Here is a 27,395-nt window from a genome sequence, read left to right on the forward strand (position 1 = left end):
GAACTGATAGGAGGAGTCAAGACAGGACATAGATATACAGCAGGAAGCAGCAGGCCCAACCTCTTTATCTTGACTGGGCCATATTGGCTAGGGAATCACTGTTGCTAGTTTCCACCGGTCAAATTAAAAAGATTCCAAGCCCGGTGCAGTGGCTCACACCTACAATCCTGGCACTTTGGGAGGCCAAGATGACAGGATCGTTTGAGTCCAGGAGTTCAAGACCAGCCTGGGCAACACAGGGAGACCTTTTCTCTATAAAAAATTTAAAAATTAGCTGGGTGTCATGATGCATGCCTGTGGTCCCAGCTACTCAGGAGGCTGATCCTGGGAGGTTCAGGCTGCAGTGAGTTGTGAAGGCACCACTGCACTCCAGCCTGGGTGAGAGAGAGCAAGACCTTGTCTCCAAAAAAAAAAAAACCCCAAACCAAACCAAAACAAAAAACCAAAAGATTATTTAAAAGCTAAAACTACCTACCTCGGCTCAGGCCATCAGGTCCCCGCAATATCCGGCATTCTTCAATCTGTCCAAACGAAGAGAACATGACTCGGATGTCATTTTCAGTGCACTTCTTGGAAATCATACCAATAAACAGCTTCCTGTCTTCCACTGCTAAGAGAGTAAAACAGAAAAGACTTGAATATTACTACTTAAAGAGGCAATGTGGCACAGATTTGGGAGCCAGACCGCCTGGGTTTGAATCCTGGCTCTGTACCATATTTTACAGATTCAAAGACACACATTTGTTTTTTGTATTTTTCACATCTCTTTTTTTCTTGTTTTTGAGATGGAGTTTCGCTCTTGTTGCCCAGGCTGGAGTGTAATGGCGCGATCTCGGCTCACCGCAAGCTCCGCCTCCCGGATTCAAGTGATTCTCCTGCCTCAGCCTCCTGAGTAGCTGGGATTACAGGCATGCGCCAAAATGCCTGGCTAATTTTGTATTTTTAGTAGAGATGGGGTTTCTCCATGTTGGTCAGGCTGTTCTTGAACTCTCGACCTCAGGTGATCCACCCGCCTCGGCCTCCCAAAGTGCTGGGATTACAGGTGTGACCCACCACGCCCGGCTTCACGTCTCTTTTTATAACCAATGTTATCTTAAAATTATAATTAGAAGCATTTAGATGAAATATGGTAGCTTTGTAATCTTGTGAAAGTTACTCAACCATTCTGTGCCTGTTTCCTCATCTAACTAATAGGAATAATCAGGTTTACTTCAAAGGGTAGCAGTTGCTATTAAATGTGAAGTACTTGGCATCTTCCCTAGTCCTTTGTATTGTTTCCTCTTTTTGAGACAAGAGTCTCGCTGTCACCCAGGCTGAAGTGCGGTGGCATGATCATGGCTCACTACAGCCTTGACCTGCCGGGTTTAAGCAATCTTCCCACCTCAGCTTCCCGAATAGCTGGGACCACAGGTATGTACCACCACACCCAGCTAATTTTTTGCAGAGAGGTTTCACTCTTATTGCCAAGGCTGGTCTCAAACTCCTGGGCTTACGCAATCCTCCGGCCTCAGCCTCTTAAAGTGCTGTGATTACAGGTGTGCGCCACTGTGCCCAGCCAGCATTGTTTGCTCTTACTGGCAATACTACTAAAGAAAGAAGAGGTTTTCACACTTGATATGACAAGTGGAAGAGAATACACCTTTCAGTGAATGTAACTGTCTACTTTTCTGAATTTTTTTTTTTTTTGAGACAGAGTCTTGCTCTGTCACCCAGGCTGGAGTGCAGTGGCACGATCTCAGCATACTGCAACCACCGTCTCCTGGGTCCAAGCGATTCTCCTGTCTCAGCCTCCTGAGTAGCTGGGATTACAGGCATGCACCACCACACTCAGCTAATTTTTGTATTTTTAGTAGAGACAGGGTTTCACCATGTTGGCCGGGTGATCCGCCCGCCGTGCGCTCCCAAAGTGCTGGGATTACAAGCATGAGCCACCTCACCTGGTCCTGACTATCTTCTTGAGAATTAAGGCCAGGCGTGGTGGCTCACGCCTGTAATCCCAGCACTTTGGGAGGCCGAGGCGGGCGGATCACAAGGTCAGGAGATCGAGACCATCCTGGCTAACACAGTGAAACCCCGTCTCTACTAAAAATACAAAAAATTAGCCGGGCGTGGTGGCAGGCACCTGTAGTCCCAGCTACTCGGGAGGCTGAGGCAGGAGAATGCAGTGAACCCGGGAGGCGGAGGTTGCAATGAGCTAAGATCATGCCAGTGTACTCCCGCCCAGGCAACAGAGTGAGACTCCATCTCAAAAAAAAAAAAAAATTCGAGAATTAAGTTCTCCTTCCTAATTTGTTCATTTTGCCCCCTCATTCCTGTCCAAAAGAAATTATACTGACCAAGTATATTCCAGTTCATTCTACAATGTTCTTATAATATTTCTCTGTCAGCTCTGTTCTTCATCATACTTTTAAAGAAAAAACTGAGACAACTTAGACAACGGATTACTTAAAGCACAATTCAATTCAGATAACCTAAGAACAGCAAACAAACTAGGCAGAAATCTTTTTTTTTTTTGAGACAGAGTCTCACTCTGTTGCCTGGGCGGGAGTACACTGGCATGATCTTAGCTCATTGCAACCTCCGCCTCCCGGGTTCAAGAGATTCTCATGCCTCAGCCTCCTGAGTAGCTGGGATTACAGGCATGCACAACCATACCCAGCTAATGTTTGTATTTTTAGTAGAGACGGGGTTTCACCATGTTGGCCAGACTGGCTCGAACTCCGGCCTCAAGCAATCCATCTGTCTTGGCCTCCCAAAGTGCTGGGATTACAGGTGTGAGCCACCGTGCCTGGCCTAGGCAGAAATCTTAAGGGGAAGATTGTATACATTTGCTTACCATTGTTCTTCTCACTGTCAGCAGGTTTCATCTGTATAGGGTGATGCATCTGAAAAGGAAAAATATGATTATTATCACTGTATATATTGATGGTATTCAAAAATACATATGGACTCTAAAATACCAGAACTAGAGCTTTAAAGAGTTCTCTCTGAACTCATGTCTGCTTCATGATCTTTCCCCAGAAAACAGAATGTGAGTCAAGAAGTCAAAATACACAAGACTCTTGACTGAGAGAGAACTAATGTCAGGTAATCTCTGAACTGCTCCCTTTATGTCTTCCTTTACATCAATTCCTGCAGCAGTTACCTTTTCCCCAAAATGGTTTTCAGTGTGTGTCTGATATGTGTAAGTATATCCCACATATCAAAGTTACCACATTTCCATTTACTAGTGGGAGCTTTCTTACCCCTGGGAGGACTTTCATGTTGTGAAGAGCATTCTGAGCTTCTAATGCAGCTTTACGGGTGTAAAATGTAACAAAACAGCACCCTGCAATAAATAAGATTTCATAAAATCAAACTTTGGAAAGCAGAGAATTCCTAGAGCAATCCTTCCTCCACTGACAGATCAGATCTTAAAAGAGGGCTGGGTTTATTAAAATTAGTGAGAGGGGGAGGGTAGTGGAAAAGAACGAATAGAATATCTAGCAGAGGAATAAGAGATTATTTTCTATACACTTTATTGTTTTAGTCTCCTCCTAGTTAGTTACACTATAAGTCTTATTTAGCTGCTCATGTAACTTCTCTGGAAAATACGACTTCTCATAAAGAAAGGTCATGTGCCATTTGACTCAACCTACCCTACTTGGAACACCAGGTGGTATATGAGACAAGAAGACAGATGGGGCTCTATACTTTTGCAGCCTGTAGTCTACCAGGAACTCTTTCTTTCCCTGCTCTCTCAGAATAAACCACTCCCTACTTCGTAGCCAGATTCTACCATATGCCTCAAACATAATTATCACTTATTAAATTATAAAATGACTTAAGAGCAAGCACCTCTTAACATCTTTTTTTGGACTCTTGGTTCTCATCAAATATAATTAAGCTTCTAAAAGCACATGGTGCTGCCTCAGATCTGTAGATTTTGTGCTTTGTATCTTTATTTTGGGTAGTAGGAGAGGAAGTATATCTTGTAAATCTTGGGCTTAAATGTTCTGACACTCCCATATTCTCATGAGATACAATATAGATTTTTTTTTAAATCATGCTGCAGCAGTTAGAACTACAAATTACTGAAGGTTATATTGCCAGTCATGTTCAGAAACTATTATACTTTATATTTTTAGTTAACCATGCCAAAAAGAGAAAGTAATTCCTCTGCTTCTAGATCCTCTGCTATTAAGCTAGTTTCAATATGATAATCATGCTTGCTTACATTTGCACTGTTGGACAGCTTTCACAGAAAATTATTTGAAAACTGGTAAAATGGAAAATAAGAACATGTCTGTGTGTATATACGGGGCAAAGTTAATACCTATCTACCATCAGTCTTGTGAAACTTCCACTCTGCTAGGCAATTCTGGAAGCAGCTCCGCCTTTCCTCTCCTGTTCACTTTGTGGCAACAGCAAACAAGCTGCCTAAACAAATCCTTTCTATTTGATAAACTATCCCGCAAGGCCTCTGTAATACTAACAAGAAACCAATGGGTATGTGGACAGTCTTTCTCCTTCAGCTTATGCTAGCCCAAACACTAAAGAAAACTTTATGTGGTTTAACTTCAATTTTATCTTTGTTATCTGTTCCCAAGGTCAAATAAGACACTCACGTGAGTCTGTCTCTTAAATTTAGAACCCTCACAAAGGACTGCCCAAGACCCAATTTACAAATTATCCTCATGCTAACACCTTAACTTTTTAAAGCCATTAAATATGTTTGGATTACAAGATATTACTACTATAAAAGGACAGATTTTTTCCAATAGACAGACAGACAGGAGTATTCTGGCAATGACAGAGAGAATGCACATGAAAGAAATTACATATAAAAATCCAATTTTTTGTATCCTGTTAAAAACCCAAAGCCCTCACCTGCTCTGAGAGTCAGTGGAAAAAATAAGATAAACCAAAACCCAAAGCCCTAACCTTTGCTCTGAGGCGGGTTTTGGCTCCTATCCCTTAGGACGTTGATTTCATACACAGCACCATACTGTTCGAAGAGTTCCCGCAAGTCCTTTTCAGACCAGGTCCTTGGAACCTGGCCCACAAACATCTTGATAGCATCAAGATCTGGTTGGTCTGGGTGGTCCAGGGTGCCGTTCATTTTCTTTGAGCTGTGTGAGATAAAATGAAACTTCTATTATGTAATAATGTTGCTTTCCAGAGGAAATTTTCTTTTCTTTAATGATCTTAACTAGTTCTGAGAACGTAAGGGAAAAAAAATCTACTTCTTTCACTACTTCCATTCAGTTTACCAGAGTTCCCTGGTTCTCCCTCACCATGGCCACCCATTCCATCAGATGCCAAACTAAAGTCACCATTCTGATTGGGACATCCCAGCTGTTACCAGGGAACTGACAGTGTACATTTCTTATCTAGCATGAGAATTACCATGCTAGAGGAGGAACTTAAAGGGTAAAACTCCCAAAACAAGATCAAGTTTTAATAACTTTTAAGCATAGTTAACAAAACAAACACTTAAAAAAAGGCCCACAAAATAACAAAGGACTATTGATTACAAATAAGATTCAGAACACTTCAATGTATACAATGACAGGTGAAGTTTCCTTTCAGTAGAAGTTAGAAAAGAAGCACTTGATTTTCAAGGATTAAACTAAGGACTAGAATGCTGGCCTTTGAATGTAGCTGACTCATGTATAATCATAATGCTCGAGTTAGGTCTCCAGACCAAAACAGAGCTCCACCTCTTATATTTCCAGATGATTGTGCGATGAACATAAACAATGTTACCATCATTTTAGATTTTCTGTTTCTGAGTTATCCAATTTACTGCTATTACTCTAAGACCAGTTAAGATTCCCTTACTGAGGGCAACCATTTTAACGATCCCAAGTTTCTCTAGTCCTATCACATTGTACTTGTAATTCTCCTATTTCAGTTTTATTACCTTTAGAACCTGAAGGATAATCAGCTATTTTAATACCTTCATTCCTATCTTGCCACTGTAAACAACCTAGGTGAATTCTTACACTATAGATGTTTCCACTCAGAACATACCATCTTGTTTTTTTTTTTTTTTTTTTTGAGACGGAATTTCACTCTTGTTGCCCAGGCTGGAGTGTAATGGCCTGATCTCAGCTCATGGCAATCTCCACTTCCCAGGTTCAAGAGATTCTCCTGCCTCAGCCTCCCAAGTGGCTGGGATTACAGGTGTCTGCTACCATGCCCAGCTAATTTTTGTATTTTTAGTAGAGACGGGCTTTCACCATGTTGGCCAGGCTAGTCTCGAACTGACCTCAGGTGATCCACCCGCCTCGGCCTCCTAAAGTGCTGGGATTACAGGTGTGAGCCACCACGCCTGGCCTCATACCATCTACTTCAAAGTCCTTCGTCCTATTTGTTTCTAAATTTAACTCTGAACATTTATCTAAACCATTAATAACTTAAATTCCCAATATCTAGCACTATTAGCTTTTCTGTTAGTATCTGCTTAATCTAAAAATCATATACAAAAATTGCCACGTTCTAATATCCAATCCCAAACAACATGCTAGTTTTTTTTTTTTTTTTTTGAGGCTGACTTTCACTCTTATTGCCCAGGCTGGAGTGCAATGGCATGATCTCAGCTCTCTGCAACCTCCTCCTCCCAGGTTCAAGCAATTCTCCTGCCTCAGCCTCCCAAGTAGCTAGGATTGAAGGCATGCACCACCATGCGTGGTTAATTTTGTATTTTTAGTAGAGATGGGGTTTCACCATATTGGTCAGGCTGGTCTCAAACTCCTGACCTCAGGTGATCTGCCCACCTCGGTCTCCCAAAGTGCTGGATTACAGGCGTGAAGCACTGCACCCAGCCAATGTGCTAGTTCTCTTTAAACAACAACAAAAAAATCATTTTTCCACCATTGCTATCTTCTGAATAGTGTCTGAAGATCCTTAAGAATGCTGAATCTATGAAAGTAGCTCACCTTCTTTTAATTACTATATATTTTCTTTCTTTTTTTTTTTTTTGAAATGGAGTCTCGCTCTGTCGCCCGGGCTGGAGTGCAATGGTGCCATCTCGGCTCACTGCAACCTCTGCCTCCTAGGTTCAAGTGATTTTCCTGCCTTAGCCTCCCAAGTAGCTGGGATTACAGGCGCGTGTCACCATGCCCAGCTAATTTTTGTATTTTTAGTAGAGATGGGGCTTTGCCATGTTGGCCAGGCTGGTCACAAACTCCTGACCTCAGGTGATCTGCCTGCCTCAGCCTTCCAAAAGTGCTGGGATTACAGGGATGAGCCACCGTGCCCAGCCTATTTCTTTATTTTTTATTTGAGACAGATTCTCTCTGTTGCCCAGGCTGGAGTGCAGTGGCGTAATCTCAGCTCACTGCAACCTCCACCTCCCAGGTTCAAGTGATTCTCATGCCTCAGCCTCCTGAGTAGCTGGGATTACAGGTATGCGCCACCATGCCTGGCTAATTTTTGTATTTTTAGTAGAGCTGGGGTTTAGCCATGTTGGCCAGGCTGGTCTTGAACTGAGCTCAAGTGATCCACCTGCCTTGGCCTCCCAAGTGCTGGGATTACAGGCCTGAGCCACCGCACCCAGCCTTGAATCTTTTATAATTCAACACTTACAGGGGTTATTCTCACATCACCTTTGATGACTCTAGCACTATCTAAATTCAAAAGCTGTAAGACAAATGGAATATAGACCAATTCCTAACCCTATATCTGTGAAGGCTCCCCATATTCTTCCAGGTTAACTAATCAGCTACAATCCTAGGACTCCAACAGTACTAAATTTCCACCTTCGTTGTGGAAATTTTAGCATTAAAATTATGCTTAACACCTTTGAACATAATCGGGCTGTATCCACCTCTTCCCAATTAAACTGACAGCTCCTTGCAGGCAGAAACCATTTTATTTCCTGTTCATTCTTGTAAACACACTGGGTATAGTATCCGGTTCAAAGTAAGCACTCAAATGTGTGAAAGGAGAAATTCCTTAAGTTTCAACAGTCCCCATTTAACCAATTAGCTCTGATAAAATGAGTGCTATGCACAAAAACAGCACCCAAATTTAAGAGCAGCTATTATCTCCTATGATTATTTAATTGCCACAGGATTAATACGCCTTTTTCTTTTAAAGACATGGTCTCGCTCTGTTGCCCAGGCTGGAGTGCAGTGGCATGACCACAGCTAACTGCAGCCTCGACCTCCCAGGCTCAAGCGATTCTCCTACCTCAGCAATCCCAGTAGATGGAACTACGGGTGTGCGCCACCACATCTGGCTAGTTTTTAACATTTTTTTGTAGAGAGAGGGTCTCACTATGTTGCAAGGGCTGGTCTGAAACTCCTGGGCTCAAACGATTCTCCCACCTCAGCCTCCCAAAGTGCTGGGATTATAGGCATGGAACTACTGCGCCTGGCCTATTTTCTTTTGAGTGTTTCAGATGGCATCATTTTACTGGTTTTCCTGTAATCTGTTAATTTAAAATGTGTGGCAGGTCATGGCAAAAACATAATGTGACTGCTTTTAAATGCTTAATCCTAATGTTCCAACAGAAATCAGCTACCATGATGAAAAAAAGCCCTATGGCCAGGCATGGTGGCTCATGCCTGTAATCCTAGCAACTGTGGGAGGCCGAGGCAGGCAGATCACTTGAGGTCAGGAGTTCGAGACCACCCTGGCCAACATGGTAAACTCCGTCTCTACCAAAAAATACAAAGCAATTAGCTGGGTGTGGTGGCGTGCACCTGTAATCCCAGCTACTCGGGAGGCTAAGGCACAAGAATCGCTTGAACCTGGGAGGTGGAGGTTGCAGTGAGCTGAGACGGGGCCACTGCACTCCAGCCTGGGTGGCAGAGTGAGATCTTGTCTCCAGAAAAAAAAGGCAGCCCTATCACTAGTGAAACACTGGCTCCCTACAACCTGTCCCGACAACTTTAATTACCAGTTGTAATAGCATTTTACTAGAATGTTGCTAATCTTTCATTCTATTTCTATTCTAGAGTGGGTTAACAAAGAACCCCAATGGTGCCCAGAATACATTTTGATAAGGAAGCTGACAGCTATTTCTGAAAAGCAGTTTTATCAATCTGTATTACGGAGGCAACTGCTCCCAGATTGCCCCTTCCCTCTGTTGTTTGTGTGCCAATTCTGAACTTTTGCATCCTGTTTAGTGCTAAAGCATAAACACAAGTCAATATATGTAGATTACAGTTTACCCAAAAGTTTAGCAGGGACTCAAGATTCTAGAGAAATGTCATCCTTTGCTCTTCTTTAGCTCTCCAAATCCTTCTCTATTTTTCCAGGTCTACCTACACCATGAACCTCCCCTTCCCTGTTTATATACCAATTCAATAGCCAGAAGACTCCCATAGAGTAGCACTGTTCAAACTGTGGCCCAAGAGGCTGGGGACAGTGACTCACCTGAGGTCAGGAGTTTGAGACCAGCCTGAACAACACGGTGAAACCCCGTCCCTACTTAAAAAAAAAAAAAAAAAAATTAGCTGGGTGTAGTGGCACACACCTGTAGTCCCAGCTACTCAGGAGGCTGAAGCAGGAGAATCACTTGAACCCGGGAGGCGGAGACTACAGTGAGCCGAGATCGTGCCATTGTACTCCAGCCTGGGCGACAGAGCAAGACTCCATCTCAAAAAGAAAAAAAAAAAAAAAAAAAAAAGGGCGTGCACACACACAAGGTGTGGCCTAAGGACCAGGGGCAATCTTCAAACTTAACTCTTTGGAAATTTTTACAGAAATTAGACTGAGCAATTTTGTATTTGTTCAGTCTAGTAATAATAAATGTAAAATACAAGCTCATACCTTATTTTTTCCCCTACATCATTCTCATTGCATTTTACAAGGGAGTGGGGGTGGGGAGAGATATGGTCCCTTAACACAGCTTGAGAAGCACTACCAAGGTATAGCAACAACCCGCATGTATACCCGTGTGTATGTAATAAGCAGTCACAAACTTTCTCTGATATTGTGTCTGAAGAGAAACAACACTCTCCCTCTTCCACATATACTTCCAATATGCATGTTGTCATTATGATTAAAAGTAACCATTGTATTAAAAAAGCCATCTGGGTACACATCAGCTACCACATCATCCATTTACTCTTTGTATCATTAAATACATTCTCAAATTTGTACCTTACTTCCCCATTCAATGGAGAGTTATGTATATTTATCATCTCCATTCAAGAACCAGTGAATTCAGCAGTTCCCTGGAGAAGTATCTATAGTGTCCCTGTCATTCCTAAGAGGCAAGTCTATGGAAATTCCTATTTCCTGGGGCAGTACTGCCAGCCCTGACCTGGGAACAGGATAGAAGAAAGGCAAATCAGGGCCTGCAAGAATGTGAAGAGGAGGAAGATCAGAAAGTGGCAAGTGTTTTAGGGGAAAGGGATGAAACCTACCCCCTCTCTTTTTATGTTTCTACTACTGGCAGCAGAAGCAGTAATAGTAATACCTGAGGAGGTAGTTACTCTCATTGTTGCTTCTGCTGCCATTATTAAGAATGAGCAACTATGAAAATTCAGGACAAGAGGTTACTTCGTCTACCTTGATTTCTGCTGAAACATACTATGAGAAAATACAATAGGGATACAATTGGGAAGAGACACACGAGGGAACAAAAAAGAGCTGTTATTTTCAAAGTATGTATTTGTTCAAAATTCTTGAACACTCTCTTCTCTTTCTCCTTTCTTTTCCCCTCTCAAAATTTCCCCACCCCAGGCCTATCTCAGGGGCAGCACAAATGTTCTATTCCAAATTTTTCCCATCCTCTGGCCCCAAGTGACTAAACCATGTGGTGGGTCTTAACCCAATGGCAAGCTGATCCATTGGCTGGCCAGAAACTTAAGACCCTTGACCTATGCTTAAAACAAAAACGGGCCTGGCCAATCAAGCTCCTTTATAGCTGCACTGAGCAATACGATGATAGCCACTAGCCACAAGTGGCTATTTAAACTTAATTTAAAAAACTAAGTTCTTCAGTTGCACTTGCCACATGTGGCTAGTGGCTACTGTATGAGACAGAGACAGAACATTTTATAGTTGTTGTTGTTTTTGTAAAGACAGGGGTCTTGCTGTGAAACCCAGGCTGGTCTCGAACTCCTGGCCTCAAGGGATCCTTCCATCTCAGCCTGCCAAATGCTGGGATTATAGGCACGAGCCACTGCCCCCAGCTGCGATACAGAATATTTTCATCATCACAGAATGTTTTATTTGACAGCACTACTTTACAGAATCTGGAACTGGTTAACAGAAACAGGCAGTTAGTAGTGAAGTCAGAAGTGGAAAAGTTGCAACTAGAGATAGCATGGGTTAAATGGAGAAGCTCAAAGTGCTGTGGTCAAAAGACAATGGGTCATGCTACAACAAAGACCTTGAAAACATTATGCTAAGTAAAAGAAACCAGTCACAAAAGGCCACATAGTATATGTTACCATTTATATGAAATGCCCAGAACAGGCAAATCTACAGACAGAAAGTAGGTTGGTGGTTGCTTAGGAATGGGGATGGGGGAAGGGAGACATGGAGAAGAAGAGGGGAATGGTTGCTAATGGGTACAGGGTTTCTTTTAAGGGTGATGAAATGTTCTGCAATTAAATAGTGGAAATGGTTACACAACTCTGGAATATACTAAAAATCACTGAATTGCTCACTTTAAAGGGTAAACTTTATAGTATGTGAATTATGTCTCAATGTGAAGGGGAGGGAGAAGGGATCCGAAGAAAAGTCATGTTGCAACCAAAGTTATAAGGTAGTTAAGAGTAGAAAGGAGGTACATGTAGAGTGAGCAGTTATATATCCTGGAGTCAGAAAGATACACTTTCTAGGTCTTCTAGCTGCAGAGCTCCTGATTAGATTACAGTTCAGTCCACCTGTGTCCTTATAAGAAAGCCCTTTCATATATGCTAGCTTGAGTGGACATCTGTTCCTTGCAGCCAAACAAGACCTTCAAACGGGACCTGTTTAAAAATAATTCCTGAAACCTTTCATTATTTTTTCACTCCCCCTTTCTCATTACCTGTTGACTTCCCTTTAATTATACAAAAAGAAAAAATTCAGATACTTACCAATCCCTCCACCTCCCCAGCAGGCAAAAATACTTGTTGCATTCCAAACTTCTGCTACCACCCACCCTTATACAAGGTCCCTCTGGCTCACATACAGTGCTGTGGAAAAACTGGAACAGAAGTGCGTGAGAATAAAAAGGGCCCAGAAACACTGGCCTGAGTTACTTACCAGCTGCTCCCTAGTGAGAACAAGACAGAATAATACATTTATGCTGTGAGAAAGTTAATTTTCATTTGGATAAAGGTCAATCTTCCTATCATGTGGGGTGTTAGGTACTAGAAAAAGCTATCTCTAAGGACAATAAAGACAATAATAATTTAAAGTCACCATCCAACAACAGAATAGCTAACAATATGCTTTTAAAGGTTTTCAGCCTTCTTCCCTGAGGTATGGAGATAAGATCTGGAGATCTTATCTCTGCAATCATCTTTAATATCATTCATTCAACTGTAATTCCCAAGCTTTTGCTATGGTGCCAGATACTACACACTATAGGGCTCTGTAAGACTGAGCAATATGTGCCCTTGAGGCAATGTCACTGAAAAAGTAGAAGGGCACAACTATAATCCTCTACAAATCCTATAAAGGAATGTTTAAAAGTTCTATGAAAGAAGTGGCTAATATGATTTTACTTTATTTGGAGGAGGGGGAGGTGTGTGTGCAGAGATTTCAGCTGCATAGAGTAGGCAACTAGAAAAAGTGCTACGTGGCATGGAGGAAAGAGGCCTAAGGGTGATGAAGAAATGGTAAGGACTGAGGAGAGATGGGAAAAGTGGGATAACATCAGAAGGGAGAAAAAGGACTTGAGAAAGTTGTGGGCAGAGTACAGAAACAGAGAAGAGATCATACTAGAAAGCTGACTAAGAATAAAGAGGTAGGTCAGAGAGACCCAGTGAAGGGCTTTCCATGTTATAGACAGGTTTGGAGTTTATTCCAAGATTTTAGATTAAGTGAATGATCAGATCTGTCCTTTTAAAAGATACCTAAAAATAATCTGGAGGATGAAATAAGGCAGGGAACATGGAGATCAGAAGGCTCTTGCATAAACTAGTACCTAAGATTAGCACCCAGTCTCAGCCAATACTGAGGAATTTTGGGCCAGGATACACTAGGATCTGGAGTTCACTTGAACTCCAAGGAGGAGAGGAAGAGAAAGAAACTAACAACTCTTGGGTTCTAGTGAAGACAATATGGGAATTACTTTTTGTGGGGAAGTCTCTAGATGAAAAGTAATCAATGAGCAGTATTTAGAATAAAGTCTTAGACCTCAGAAGACATTTGGGGGAACAGAGATCTGAGAAGCAGAGAAGCACATCAGTGTCCCCTTAAGCAATGGGAGAATGAAAAGAAAAAAGTCTGGGACACAACTCATGAAAATATCCATATCTTAGGATGCAGGCAAAGTAGCACCAGTGGAAGCTTAAGAGTGATCAATGAAGAATCAAGAACATTGGCTAACCGTTCACTGACACTAGAGGCAGCCTGGTCTAGTGGGCAAAAATAAAAAGACCTTTACCTTTAAACTTGTACTTCAGGCCCAACACTGATTACTATTTGTCCTCAATCTCTCTCTCAACTGGGTTTCTCATGTTTAAAATCGGGGCAATGGCCTACGCCCAGGCACCCTTGCAAAGTTTTGGTGAAGATGGGTGACTAAAACAGATGCAAACGTACTTGGAAAAAATGTTGACAATCCATTCCCCGACTGACTCTGAGAATGACCTGTGTTAAGTCCACTAGCTCTCGAACTTTAGTGTGCACAAAAAAACATGCTGGACACTTGTTTCTAGAGTCTTGGGGGTCCTATTCTAGAATAAAAACATCTGAATTTTTAAGTTCCAGGTGACTTTCATGCAGTGGTCCATGGTCCAGATTTAATGGGATATTGAATGGGTCCAATCTCTTAAAAGATTAGAAAGCAGGCTGAGAAGAATGCTGTGTCAATGTTGGGTTGAACACCAGGCAGTGGCAAAGCACAGGAAGTATTACAATGAAAGACAATTTGAGCAACAGCCTTGTTTCTAAGGATCATAAATCCTGGGACATGGAAATATCCTTATTATGTATTAAATCTTTATCATGATATTCACTTTAATTTCACCTGTTACAGCTAAAATAAAATTTTAGTAGTAAAGAACTCTCATAAAAAGACATTTAAATTACCGTAATTTTGGAGACTACAGAGGAGGCATAAGATCCACTTCAAAAGAGTAAGACAGGCCAGGTGCCGAGGCAGCAGGATAGCTTGAGCCCAGGAGTTCAAGACCAGCCTGGGCAACACAGGGAGACCTCATATCTACAAAAAGTTTAAAAATTAGCCAGGTGGTGGTGCATGCCTGTGGTCCCAGCTACTTGGGAAGCGGAGGCGAGAGGACTGCTTGAGCCCAGGAGGTTGAGGCTACAGTGAACTGTGACTGTGCCACTGCACTCCAGCCTGGGCAACAAAGCAAGACCCTGTTTCAAAAACAGAGAGAGAAAGAGCTAACTTTGAGCCCTGCCCCCCAACTATTCCACAAAGAACTGTTTGGTATCTACTATTATCCACACCTGTTACATCTAATCCCAGGGTAGACTGATTTGCACATGGAGGCCTAACCTCAAAGACTTGCATTAACACTTGTTATCTAGAGAATATTCTACCATTTAATATTCTTGGCTTTGAATAACCTAAAGCTCATTTGCTGGAGGTTCCAAAATACTCTGAAGCCTGGTTACAGTGACTGAAATCAGGGGTTGGAAATGTGTCCTTCTCTACAAAGTCCAGAATTCAGGTTCCTAGCAGCTACAACTCAGGGTTAGGTTAGCATTTTGGCTGTGTACAACAGCAGTTCTTGGACAGTACTGCAAGCTAACAAGGTTTCTCACTCTCACAATTTATTTGGGCAAATTGCCAATCAAGATTGATCCAGTTTTGCTTTTTTTGGAGGGTAAAGGACAATTTGATGTTCCTAAAATCACGTGCTGAGCTGTATTTTCAATTAGACTCGGCGGGGGTGGGGGGAATCAAGGTCCAGGATTGCACTTTGTATGTTAATACAGAATGTTGTAGATGATACTAAACACACTGACTGTAGCTACCAGTCTTCTCTGTGATAGGAGACTAAGAATCCAGTAATTTAAAATAATAAAATACTTCCTTCCCAAAAGATTATTTGAAATTGCATGTCCAACCCAAAGCGACAATGCTACAGTTTAAAAAAAAAATACCTTGTAATCTATCATATAGGAAAACACTACAGCTTAAAGGAATTGGAGCTAGCACACTTGAGCTGATGCTGCTGGTCATATATCAAGTGCACCTTTATGTAAATAACTTAAAGCCTTGAGGAAATAAGCAGTAATGAGACAGACTACAATTGAAAATAATAGCATGAGAGAATTCAGGTTGTTTTGGCTTCTTTCCCCATTTTTCTCTTCCCCTTCTTAAAAAAAGGAACCAATTTCATCAAATAAAGAAAACAGCCCAGTTCCTCTGCTTATGATAAAAATTAGACAACAAAAATACTTACACGGGACTGGAATTCAAAGAGCAATGATCCACCATCATTTCTGGAAGGAAATCCAACTTAAACGCAGCCATCACCTCACTCTCCCCTTCAGAAGCCAATGATATTAACTTGCTGCACTTGTCTGATCCACAAATACACACAGCTTTAGCTTCCTGGGCCCCACAAAAAACACAAAGTGGAAACAGGAGCTCAGGGAAACCAGCAATAAGTGCCACAGAAAGAGGCAGGACTGGGGAAGGGGTAGGGAAAGGGAGTATTGGATTAAAATGGGGATGTGACCATGTGAAGGGAGGCTCAGCCCAGCACACAATGAAAGTGCTGATGCGCCAGGCTTGTTTTGTGCAATTTTCCCTGGCGAAGCAGTACTAAGTGCACTGTCAGATAAATAGTGTCAGATCCATGAAGATAGCAGTGGCTAACAGAGCAGAAGAAACACAAACTTGTTTCACATCCTCCAAACTCCTCCCTGCAAACCAGTTTTTAAGGTCCCCCAAAGCCTGAAACTACCTGAAGCAAGAAAAGGCTCACCGAAGAAATGGGTTGTTAGCCTTGCTTTTAAACTTACGTTTCCATGTGCCAAAGACAGCAATGAGCACAGTGCTTAGGTCCAAACTAACCTCAGAACAGTCACATAAAGAGGAATGATAAGACCATCAGAAGCAGGCCAGAGGCAAACTGGTTGAATAAACTGGCCACCAGAAACTTACCACTCACATACAACTGCCTACAGTTGATCAGCCTTGCTTTTTTTTTTTTCTTGATATTTTCAAAAGAGCATCAATTTCTCAACTGACCTTGCTTTCTTGATGTGCTATCTAATGGTTAGAGCAAGGTGTGCTATCTAATGGTTCCTCATCTGGGTGAAAGACTTCAAAAATCCTTTGTTCAGTAACACTCATTAGATGGCACAGGGAAATTTTCTTTACTAACTCTGAAGCTTCATCTGCCAGAAAATAAAAATGGAATAGTAATATTCTGCTTCTTACTAGCATACTAGGAAATAATGTATTTTCAGTTCTCTGTTGTCCTTTCTAAAGAAACAAAGAACAAAAGCCACTTTAGTGATAATAATGAAAAAGAACTAGGGCCTACCAGGGACAACACTCAAACATGTAAGGGAAAAACCAAGAAATGAAGTCTCTTCATTCTCTTTTTCCTCCTTTAAACTGTTGATAAAACCAAGACTAGTGAGTGCACACATAAAAATTCTATTATGGGTGAGCAGTAGAGATGGATATACTTAGCAGTCAAGGCAGATGTGTGCTCCCGTTCTCAATTTAGCTCCACATCCCCCCAAACAACAAATGGCGGCATTTCAATATTTAGGCAGTGACTCTAAAATGTTATCTCTGAAGGCTCCCAAATTTCACAGGCTTTCTTTCCATTTTTATCATTAGAGTTGCCTTACCTCAAAGATTTCACTTCACCCAAGCTCAGTTCACAACACAGGGAACTTTGAAAAAAAGAAGTTATGTTCAGCCTGCAAAGAAGTAAAACGAATGAACTACTAAACACACAGAGTTAACGTTAAAAAAAAAAAAGAAAGGCAACACACAATGGCATAGGCCTAGAAGTTCTAATCTGTGTAACAATGGCTAACATCTGTCTGCACCTGACCCAGGAAGGTGAAAACTGTCTCTTCTGTCCATGTCCAGACGTCATCATCCAAAATCTAGAACTGTACTGTAACAGCAGCTTACTGCTTTTTCTATTTTTGCCAGAGACTCGCTCATCTGATTTACTACTATAGAGGCAGAAGTGGCAGGAGCTCTCTTCCACCCTATTAAAGCGGCAAAAACAAACTGCAAGTGAGAGGAGACTGTGCAACTGACACACAGTACACAGTTTACCAAGCCCATGCCTGTCAGGCAGAAGATGGTAACCCTAGCTGGGGCTGGTTAGATTACTGGCTATGTTTGTCCTAGTTTCTCCTACGTACATTGGAACTGATGGCATGCCTCTTCCTATAGAAAGCTGCCTAGACCAAAGAATAACTGAGTCGACAACCAAATTAGATCTTTTAGTGCAAGAATTCCTCTAAAAAGACATTCCAGGCTTTAAAAAGGCTGAGCAACAACAGCTCATGGTGGCTCACGCCTGTAATCAATCCCAACACTTTTGGGAGGCCAAGGCGGGCGGATCACCTGAGGTCAGAAGTTGAAGGCCAGCCTGGCTAAGATAGTGAAACCCCATCTCTACTAAAAAATATCAAAAAAAAAAATTAGCTGGGCGAGGTGGCACACGCCTGTAACCCCAGCTACTCGGGAGGCTAAGGCAGGAGAATAGCTTGAACCCAGGAGGCAGAGGCTGTGGTGAGCTGAGATCACGCCACTGCACTCCAGCCTGGGCGACAGTAAGACTCCGTCTCCCCCACCAAAAAAAAATCCTTTAAAAAGGATTCAATAAATTTCAAGGAACTTACCTAAATTTCAAGGTTATTGTGTTTTTAATATTTCCTAAAAACATATGAAATCTAATTGTATCTCTAGTTCAAATCAGAATCACATCTATAACAAAAGACTACTTAAATGGAGACATTACTGAGTTGCCAGGCACTGTCCAATGTATGAAAAGATGTGCTCTCCTTAAAATAGTTTCCACCAAGCCAAGGGCTGGGAAATATGATTTAGAGTAATGTCTTAAAATCATTTTTTCCCAGTCATAGAACTTTTGTTCAAAAGAAGTCTCCAGAGGCCCAATTTATAAAGCAGTTGAAAATAGAAAGCAGGGCCCATAAATTCTCTGTGCTTATACTGCTATTAAAGTCCATTTTATGATTTATAAAGCAACACCGCTTTAAAAACCTACAAGATGGAAATGTTATTACATGAAAGAGGGCACTTCTTCTCAGGCAGGTCACCAGAGTTATCTCAGTATAATTAAATTCAACATACTTTGGGAAAAGAGAGCACAGAAATTAATCACAAGTCAATTTTAGAAAGAGGTTATGAAGTTAAGTGATAAAAGCAATTATGGGAATACAAAAATGCAAATATTAAGGGAAATTTAAAAGTAGAATTAAAAGAAAGTTATTCACAAAAAACTGCCCGTGTGTGCGTGTGTGTGTATGTGTGTGTGTGTGTTTAATGTCTTAATTAGTCCGGACACGGTGGCTCAAGCCTGTAATCCCAGCACTTTGGGAGGCCGATGCAGGTGGATCATGAGGTCAGGAGATCGAGACCATCCTGGCTAACACGGTGAAACCCTGTCTCTACTAAAAATACAAAAAATTAGCTGGGCGTGGTGGCACATGCCTGTAATCCCAGCTACTCGGGAGGCTGAGGCAGGAGAATCACTTGAACCCGGGAGGCGGAGGTTGCAGTGAGCTGAGATTGCGCCACTGCACTCCAGCCTGGACGACAGAGTGAGACTCTGTCTCAAAAAAAAATCAGATAGACATTCCAGGCTTTTCCCACAAAGGAAGCATTAGAAATACAGAGGTGACAGGAGGGGTTATAACCAAGGGTCTGCTGCAAAAGAAGGCCTTAACTTTCCCTCAGCCTCTTTTCATCACCTGTTCCTTTCACTCTGAATGTACTTTCATGGTTTCCTCTTCTCTCCCTGGTTGTCCGTCTGTCTCAGTATTCTCTGCCTTGAATATTCTCTACTTTTTAAAAGAGCAACAATTCAAAGCCTGATTAAGTGAAGGTAGGAGTAGTCAGCCTGCTGTAACATTAAGAACCCAAATCATTAAAAGTGATCAATATAGGTAAGAAAAACACTCAAAAGAACAGCATTCATTGCATTTAGGATATAGGAATAGTATAAACTTAACAGGAAGATGTAAAACTGGATTAGAAAAGAGAAAGGCTAGCAATCACAGTATGTTTTGCCAAAAGGATGAAAAAGCAAACAAAAGCACAGTTAAGCAAAAAAGCCTAGTTGGCATATGCAAATGTCTACCTTGATAGATATAACCAGGGAGTTCTACAACAGGTGAACAGATTTTACACTTCCACCCCAATAAATCTAAGTATGTTTGAAAGGGCAATAAAGTAAAGTCTAGTTATATAAGCACAGAGGAGATTAGAAGCTACTACTGAAAAGGGAATCAATGTCATTAAAAATCACCATCAATCTATATGAGGGAATTCAAATTGCAAAAATCTAGGGAATGGTTATAACCTCAGATTGCTGCTAAGTGGACTGGGTATTTTACCCCCAAGTTTCATAAGAGAGAAAAAAAGTAAGCAATTGATACTTGAAAATAACCAACTACAGTAACTTAAATTTTTGCACAGTACCTTTTTGGACCTAAATTTCATTTCTAAAATCGAGTATTTCTAATATAACTACTGGGTCTCCTGAGCTCCCAGCCAAGTACCTTGCTTGCATAGGTAAAATATGGTGACACAAACTGGTAATTATCTCTGTGGCATTTCACTTTGTGGAAGATTTCTGTTATTGTTACAAAATGTGACGGTTAAGAATAATTTACGGGGCAAGAACACAGGCTTCACGCCTATATTCCCAACACTTTGGGAGGCCAAGGTGGGCAGACTGTTCAAGCCCAGGAGTTTGAGACTAGTCTGACCAACAAAGAGAGACCTATCTCTACAAAAAAATACAAAACATTAGCTGAGTGTGGTGATGCATACTGTAGTCTCAGCTACTCAGGAGGCTGAGGCAGGAGGAGTGACTGGGCCCAGGAGGTCAAGGCTGCAGTGAACCAAGATTGAGCCACTGCACTCTAGCCTGGGCAACAGAATAAGACCCTGTCTCAAAACAAACAAACAAAAAACAAAACAACAAAATAAGTTTTCCATAAGAATCTAGACAATGTAAAAATTTCTGAATGGTGGGGGAGGGGGGTTAAAGAAGAAATAGAAATATTGTAAAAAGAATTTTTCTGGCTGGGCACAGTGGGAAACGCCTGTAATCCCAGCACTTTGGGAGGCCAAGGCAGGAGCATCATTTGAGCTCAGGCAAGACTAGCCTGGGCAACATGGCGCCATCTCTACAAAAAAATACAAAAAATAGTGAGGCATGATGGTGCCCACCTGTAGTCCCAGCTACTTGTGAGGCTGAAGTGGGAGGATCACCTGACCCCAGGAAGGTCAACGCTGCAGTGATACTTGATCGCACCACTACACTCCAGCATGGGCAACAGCGTGAGACCCTGCCTTACAAAACAAAATAAATAAAACATAAAAAACCTCCATTTCAGGCTGGGCGCGGTGGCTCACCGCCTCTAATCCCAGCACTTTGGAAGGCCGAGGTGAGCAGATCACCTAAGGTCAGGAGTTCTAGACCAGTTTGATCAACATGGTGAAACCCCATCTCTACTAAAAATACAAAAATTAGCCGGATGTGGTGGCAGGTGCCTGTAGTCCCAGCTACTTGGGAGGCTGAGACAGGAGAATCGCTTGAACCCAGGAGGCGGAGGTTGCAGTAAGCCGACACCATGCCATTGCACTCCAGCCTGGGCGATAGAGTGAGACTCTGTCACCAAAAAAAAAAAAAAAAAAATTTCCATTTCAAATCTAAAATCACTGTACCAAAAAAGCACTACATTTAATAATTTGTTGTGTACAAGTTGCCTTGCCTGTAAAATTACCACATACAGTATACTGAAAGGATATGACAAAAACATCACCATTTTGAAAACGAAAAAGTTTTCCATTTCCTCCCCTATCCTTAATCACAGAAAGACTCTGTACTCAGCTCTGTACTACTGCTGTGTACTCAGCAATAGTATAGCCTCAGAGCCTTCCTTGGAGTATCTGTCAGTAACACTGACCCAACAGTCCTGTCAAATTGTGACCACCCTTCCAATCAAGTCATACTTTCAGATCCCACACTAGTTCTGGAACTTAAGTGCATTTCTTAGTTGGTAACAATATACTGTAAGTTTACACTTTATTTAAGCTCCAGTGCTGATTTAAAAATCAGTATGTTAGGCCAGGCACGGTGGCTCATGCCTGGAATCCCAACACTTTAGGAGCCCAAGATGGGCAGATCACGAGGTCAGATCGAGACCACCCTGGTTAACACGGTGAAATCCCCTCTCTACTAAAAAAAATACAAAAAATACAAAAAAATTAGCCGGCCATGGTGGCAGGCAGCTGTAGTCCCAGCTACTCAGGAGACTGAGGCAGGAGAATGGCGTGAACCTGGGAGGCAGAGCTTGCAGTGAGCCGAGATCGTGCCACTGTACTCCAGCCTGGCTGACAGAGTGAGACTCTGTCTCCAAAAAAAAAAAAAAATCAGTATGTTAGCCGGGCACAGTGGCTCCTATCTGTAATCCCAGTACTTTGGGAGGCCGAGGCTGGCAGATCACCTGAGGTCAGGAGTTCGAGACCTGTCTCTACTAAAAATACAAAAATACAAAAATTAGCCAGGCACAGTAGCAGGCACCTGTAATCCCAGCTACTCAGGAGGCTGAGGCACGAGAATTGCCTGAACCCAGGAGGCAGAGGCTGCAGTGAGCTGAGATCGTGCCACTGCACTCCAGCCTGGGTGACAAGAGTGAAACTCTGTCTCCAAAAAAAAAAAAAAAAAGTATGTTGAACAAATTCTGGTTCAAGGAAGGTATTAGTACGTGCATGGAATCTACTAAGTTCCGTCCTCATCTCTGTTCCAGTGGTGTCCAATCTTTAGGCTTCCTTGTGCCACACTGGAAGAGGAATTGTCTTAGGCCACAAATAAAATATACTAATGATAGCCGATGAGTTAAAAAAAAAAAATTTGCAGGCTGGGCGCGGTGGCTCACACCTGTAATCCCAGCACTTTGGGAGGCCGAGGTGGGAGGATCACAAGGTCAAGAGATAGAGACCATCCTGGCTAACACGATGAAACCCCGTCTCTACTAAAAATACAAAACATTAGCCAGGCGTGGTGGCACAGGCCTGTTAATCCCAGCTACTCGGGAGGCTGAGCCAGGAGAATTGCTTGAACCCGGGAGGCGGAGGGGTTGCAGTGAGCCAAGATCGCGCCACTGCTCTCCAGCCTGGGTGACAGAGCGAGACTCCGGCTCAAAAAAAAGAAAAAAAAAATCTCATGTTTTAAGAAAGTTGATAAATTTGTGTTAGGCTATATCCAAAGCTGTCCTGGGCTACATGCAGCCCACAGGCTGCGGGTTGGACAAGTCTGGTGTAGAGTATTCCTCCCGGCTCCCTCCAACATACACACGCTCACCGCAACAGCTGTAAGAACTAGGAAGCAGCTAGTTTTAGTGGGAGATAAGCCTGCCTTGGAAAATAGCTAAGGAGAAAGAGTTGGAAAAGAGGGCAAGAAAATATTTCTAGCTTCCCAGGGACACACATTTTGCAAATGTTATCCCATAATGTACAAAAGAAGCCATCACCTTTCTGAAAGCAACTTTTTCATATCTGCATAGCAGGCCTCATGCAAGAAGGTTAAAAAGATAGCCACGGAGCACACCCATTCAGTAGTTAGCCCATACCTGTAGCTTTACACTTCCCTCTCTGGACTATGTCTTCACTCTAAAAAACCAAGGAAAGAAAAATAAGTGGGCCATGCCTAGACGTCTCTCATGACTCCAGATATATCACCTCTTTCCAAAGAAAAGCCCCTCTGTCACCATGGCAGAAGATAAAAATACAGAAGTACTCCTCCTGCGCCCTTTTTACTCAATGCCTTAAAGATAAGTTGCATTTAATATCTCAAGGCTAATTTTAAAACACCATCAACTTAAACGATGGGGGAAGTAAAATACTAAAAGGTTTAAAAGAGTCTTGCCCTAAAATGTCGTAACAAATAGCAAAACAATGACTAAAATTTATGAGGTTGAATTTCAGTACATCTAGGTCACCAAAACAATCATTTTTAACATCTGCTTTTGGATTGGAGACTAAGAAAAGCTAATGGCTGTATAATTCTTTTAGCAATTAAGGATCGTGTTATTCATGTGGAGAGACCACACTATTTCCCCAAAGCAACCTTCCTGAATACATAGGTGCCGGGCATGAAACTCTACAAAAGCAACCACGTTCCTGCCACTGTAAATGCATCTTGGTGGCCCTAGGGTGGCGGTGAACCACTGAAACAAAAAAAAAAATCAGAAGATGGGGAAGTTAATTGATGGTAAAAGCAAACAGAGGAACCACAAAACCAATTTGTTTTATTTTTAAGCATATCGAACAATCTTGCAAGTAAAGACTGATTCTATAAAACTGCCCAAATTCCTACAAACTTCCAAATACAACTCCTGCCAGCTGTATTTCTGTCTGGCTTTCACTACAGACAATAAACTATTCAAATTCACCAAGGACAATGTCTAAACTGGAAAGTACAAGAATTCTGAAAGACAAAGCCAGACCCAGAACTAACTAGTAAGACACTGCCTATCCTCCCTGAAGACAGAGAGATTTCTTAACTGGCATAAAATAGGTGCTCAAGTATTAACTTTTCATGCAGATTTAATTAGTTTCCAATTTTGCTAATAAAGTAGTGATAGTTCCAGTAATTTTAAGGGCAAAGTTTAAACTAATTAAAAAAAAAAACAGAACTTCCTAAAAGCATTTACTTGCACCTGCCTCTACCATCAAAAGTTACCAAGAAGAAAGGAACTTCCATTTACTAAGTTCACAAACTTCATTCAATCCTTTATCATTATGACCATTTAAGGTGAGGACTACCCTAAGGATTCAGATGCTAAGGAAGATAACCTGCCCGTGGCTTCTTGGTAGGTCTGTCTCTCTAGAGAAATGTGACCATAATTTAGGAGATATCAACTTTTACTGAGATAGTGTGTCCTGAGAAGGCTCTGTAATGATTATCACAGATGGTAGACAGCAAGTTAAATTTCTACCTGTTAAGAGTTCTTCTGGAAGATGTAAAAGTCAAAGAAAAGGCCAGGGAACCACATTTCCCTCCAAATTTTATGTGGAACACAGTTTGAAAAACAGTGTTATTATGTGATTGGTTTTTCATAGGCATCACTTCCACCCTCTGAGACGAGACTCAGACTGCAAGCTAGTCAGGGAATCTCCAAGATAAAGAGAGCAAAAGGGAGATCTGGAGTTGTTAAGAAAGACCAATACACAAAAGGGTAAGGGACAGGTATCTTAAGTCCTGGAGAACATAGCAGCCCTCAGGGGGCTAGGAACATTTTAACTGCCAGGCCAAGAGAAAGAAAAAAAAATGAATTTCTTTAAAAAAAAAAAAAAAAACCCAAAAGAACAAAAAAACAAAAAACCTCCACATAAACAGGGTATCATCCTACTCCTAAGCCACCAAGACTTTTTAAAGGAAACCTCAAACACACACACACACACACACACATAAATAAACAACACTGTAATCTTCCACACAGGATTCTGTCACCTGGAGAAGGGCAAATGAATAGTCCAATACACAAAAAAGGCTGTTTTGAGACGGAGTTTCGCTCTTGTTGCCCAGGGTGGAGTGCAATGACGCGATCTCGGCTTACTGCAACCTCCGCCTCCCAGGTTTAAGCAATCCTTTGCCTCAGCCTCCTGAGTAGCTGGGATTACAGGCATGCGCCACCATGCCCAGCTAATTTTGTGTTTTTAGTAGAGATGGGGTTTCACCATGTTGGTCAGGCTAGTCTCGAACTCCTGACCTCAGGGGATCCGCCCACCTCCGCCTCCCAATGTGCTGGGATTATAGGGGGTGAGCCACCGTGCCCGGCCTCAAAAAAGTTATATTTTTTTAAAGCTTTGTCTTCCCAGTTTTGCTTTTCCTATGTTATTTTATTGCCTATTCTGTGAGAAAACTGAAACGCTTTGGTGAGAGAGAAGAGCTGAATGGAAACTAAAAGCTTTGACTGTTTTACATCTTTCCTTTCATTTCTGTGGGGAACCAAAGGGCACATGCTCTGTGAGAAAGCCTGAACTGTTTGTACTGTATTTCCTTGGAACTCCACGGATGTCTGTTTCTATTAACATTATCTCTACCTTTCTCTATCACAATGCAAGAACCAGGAAGTACACAGGTGGTTCTAAAGAGGAGTAAAAAAGCTAAGAGGGGGGCTGGGTGTGACGGTATACACCTGTAGTCCTAGCAACTTGGAAGGATAAGGCAGGAGCACTGTTTGAGCCCGGAAGTTTGAGGCTGTAGTGAGCTATGCTGGCACCACTGCACTCCAGCTTAGGCCACACAGTGAGACCTTGTCTCCCCACCCCACTCCAAAATAAGGCTAAAGGGAAAAAGGAGCAAAAAAAATGTAGGGAACAGCCAGGAGTGGTTCATGCCTGTAATCCCAGCACTTTGGGAGGCCGAGGCAGGTGGATCACTTAAGGCCAGGAGTTCCAGACCAGCCTGGCCAATGTGAGGAAACACCGTCTCTACTAAAAATACAAACATTAGGCCAGATGCAGTGGCTCACGCCTGTAATCCTAGCACTTTGGGAGGCTGAGGTGGGCGGGTCACTTGAGGTCAGGAATTCAAGACCAGTCTGGCCAACACGGTGAAACCCTATCTCTACTAAAAACACAAAAATTAGCTGGGTGTGGTGTCTCAAAAAAAAAAAAAAAATGGCCGGACATGGTGGCGTGCACCTGTAATCCCAGCTACTTGCGAGGCTAAGGCATAAGAATCACTTGAACTCGGGAAGCGGAGGTTGCAGTGAGCCGAGATCCCGCCACTGCATTCCAGCCTGGGCAACAGGGTGAGATACTGTCTCAAAAAAGAAAAAAAAAAGTAAGGAAGTAGGGAGAGTGGTGAGAGCAAGATGAAGGGCAAGCTAGCTGAGAGTTCCAATATTATCTACCTGCGATAAATGTTTAAAGACATTTAAAATACAACCTCATAAGAAGTTTTTTAACTTCACTGACAGAAAAGGCTCTCAGATCCTCTAAAAGCCTTTCTTAGAATAGGCAAGGTAATAAGCTCTTTATTCTTAGTGTTTTCTACTGGCCTATACAGCTTGTATGCTGAGTAAATGACAAAATATTGTCTTTCCCAGGATGACTGGCACTGACTCAGTCACCATCAGCAGCTCTTACATAGCACGTGCTAGATCACAAAGTCCAGAGACAAGGGCCTGTGGCACGATGATGTTCAATAACATACATCAGTCCTAAACCCATGAACTTGGCCTCATTAGTAAGACTCACTGTTTTTTGTTTTTGAGGGTCTCGCTCTGTTGCCCAGGCTGGAATGCAGCGGTGTCATCTCGGCTCACTGCAACCTCCGCCTCCTGGGCTCAAGCAATCCTCCCACCACGGCTTCCCAAGTAGCTTGAACTACAGGTGTGCACCACCACGCCCGGCTAATTTTTGTATTTTTTGTAGAGAAGGGGTTTTGCCATGTTGCCCAGGCTGGTCTTGAACTCCTGGGCTCAAGCGATCCACCCCCTCTTGGCCTCACAAAGTGCTGGGATTACAGGTGCAAGCCCCCGCATCTGGCCAACTCACTCTTAACTAACAACTGTTAGTAAGCAACCTTAAAATTCCTTGAAAAACTTCCTTGATATAAGACAGGGAGCTAATAAAGAATTTAGCCAGGAAGAAAAAGAATTTAGCTGGGTACAGTGGCTCATACCTATAATCCCAACACTCTGGGAAGCTCAAGTGAGAGGACTGCATGAGCCCACAAGTTTGAGACCAGCCTGGGCAACATCATGAAACCCTGTTGCTACCCAAAAAGAAAAAAAAAAATTAGATGGGTGTGGTGACATGTGTCTGTAGTCCCAGCTACTTGGAAGGCTGAGGTGGGAGGATTGCTTGAGCCCAGAGGTCGAGGCTGCAGTGAGCTGTGATGGCACCACTGCACTCCAGCCTAGGCAACAGAGCAAGATCGTCTCAAAAACCAAAACAAAAAAATAATCTAACTACTATCCAGATTAGAGGTTTTTAAACGATCTTAAAAGCAGAACTGTTTTTCTCCTAAACATGAAAGTCAGGCTGTTCAGGTCAAAGATAGAGGAGG

The 27,395-nt window shown here is 42.3% G+C and overlaps 1 protein-coding gene across 121 annotated transcripts in view, besides 1 other annotated feature; it reads right to left on the reverse strand.

The window, feature by feature from the left end:
• CELF1 (CUGBP Elav-like family member 1) overlaps positions 1–27,395 on the reverse strand; it is a 99,603-nt gene that overhangs the window by 17,977 nt on the left and 54,231 nt on the right. For 47 of the 121 annotated variants that reach the window (NM_001376443.1, NM_001376422.1, NM_001376419.1 and 44 more), the window contains 4 exons: positions 4,924–5,111; positions 3,246–3,328; positions 2,837–2,885; positions 476–610 (listed from right to left, as the gene is read on the reverse strand). In NM_001376443.1, coding sequence (NP_001363372.1) covers positions 476–610; positions 2,837–2,885; positions 3,246–3,328; positions 4,924–5,101 — 445 coding nt within the window. In that variant the 5' untranslated portion in view covers positions 5,102–5,111. Of the gene's footprint in view, positions 1–475; positions 611–2,836; positions 2,886–3,245; positions 3,329–4,869; positions 5,112–9,369; positions 9,418–10,417; positions 10,609–15,539; positions 15,692–16,947; positions 17,020–19,053; positions 25,728–27,395 lie in introns of those variants that run through there. The other 74 variants (XM_047426276.1, NM_001376389.1, NM_001376388.1 and 71 more) reach the window with 19 other exon arrangements.
• Positions 26,338–27,212: an enhancer, noted in NCBI's record as "H3K27ac-H3K4me1 hESC enhancer chr11:47531803-47532677 (GRCh37/hg19 assembly coordinates)". NCBI's record gives its function as "activates a minimal SCP1, AML or CMV promoter by ChIP-STARR-seq in naive H9 embryonic stem cells {active_cell/tissue: H9 hESC(naive)}" and the evidence as "EXISTENCE:reporter gene assay evidence [ECO:0000049][PMID:30033119]".

The sequence above is a fragment of the Homo sapiens genome, chromosome 11 (genome assembly GCF_000001405.40).
Source record: "Homo sapiens chromosome 11, GRCh38.p14 Primary Assembly".
NCBI classification, from domain to species: domain Eukaryota; kingdom Metazoa; phylum Chordata; class Mammalia; order Primates; family Hominidae; genus Homo; species Homo sapiens.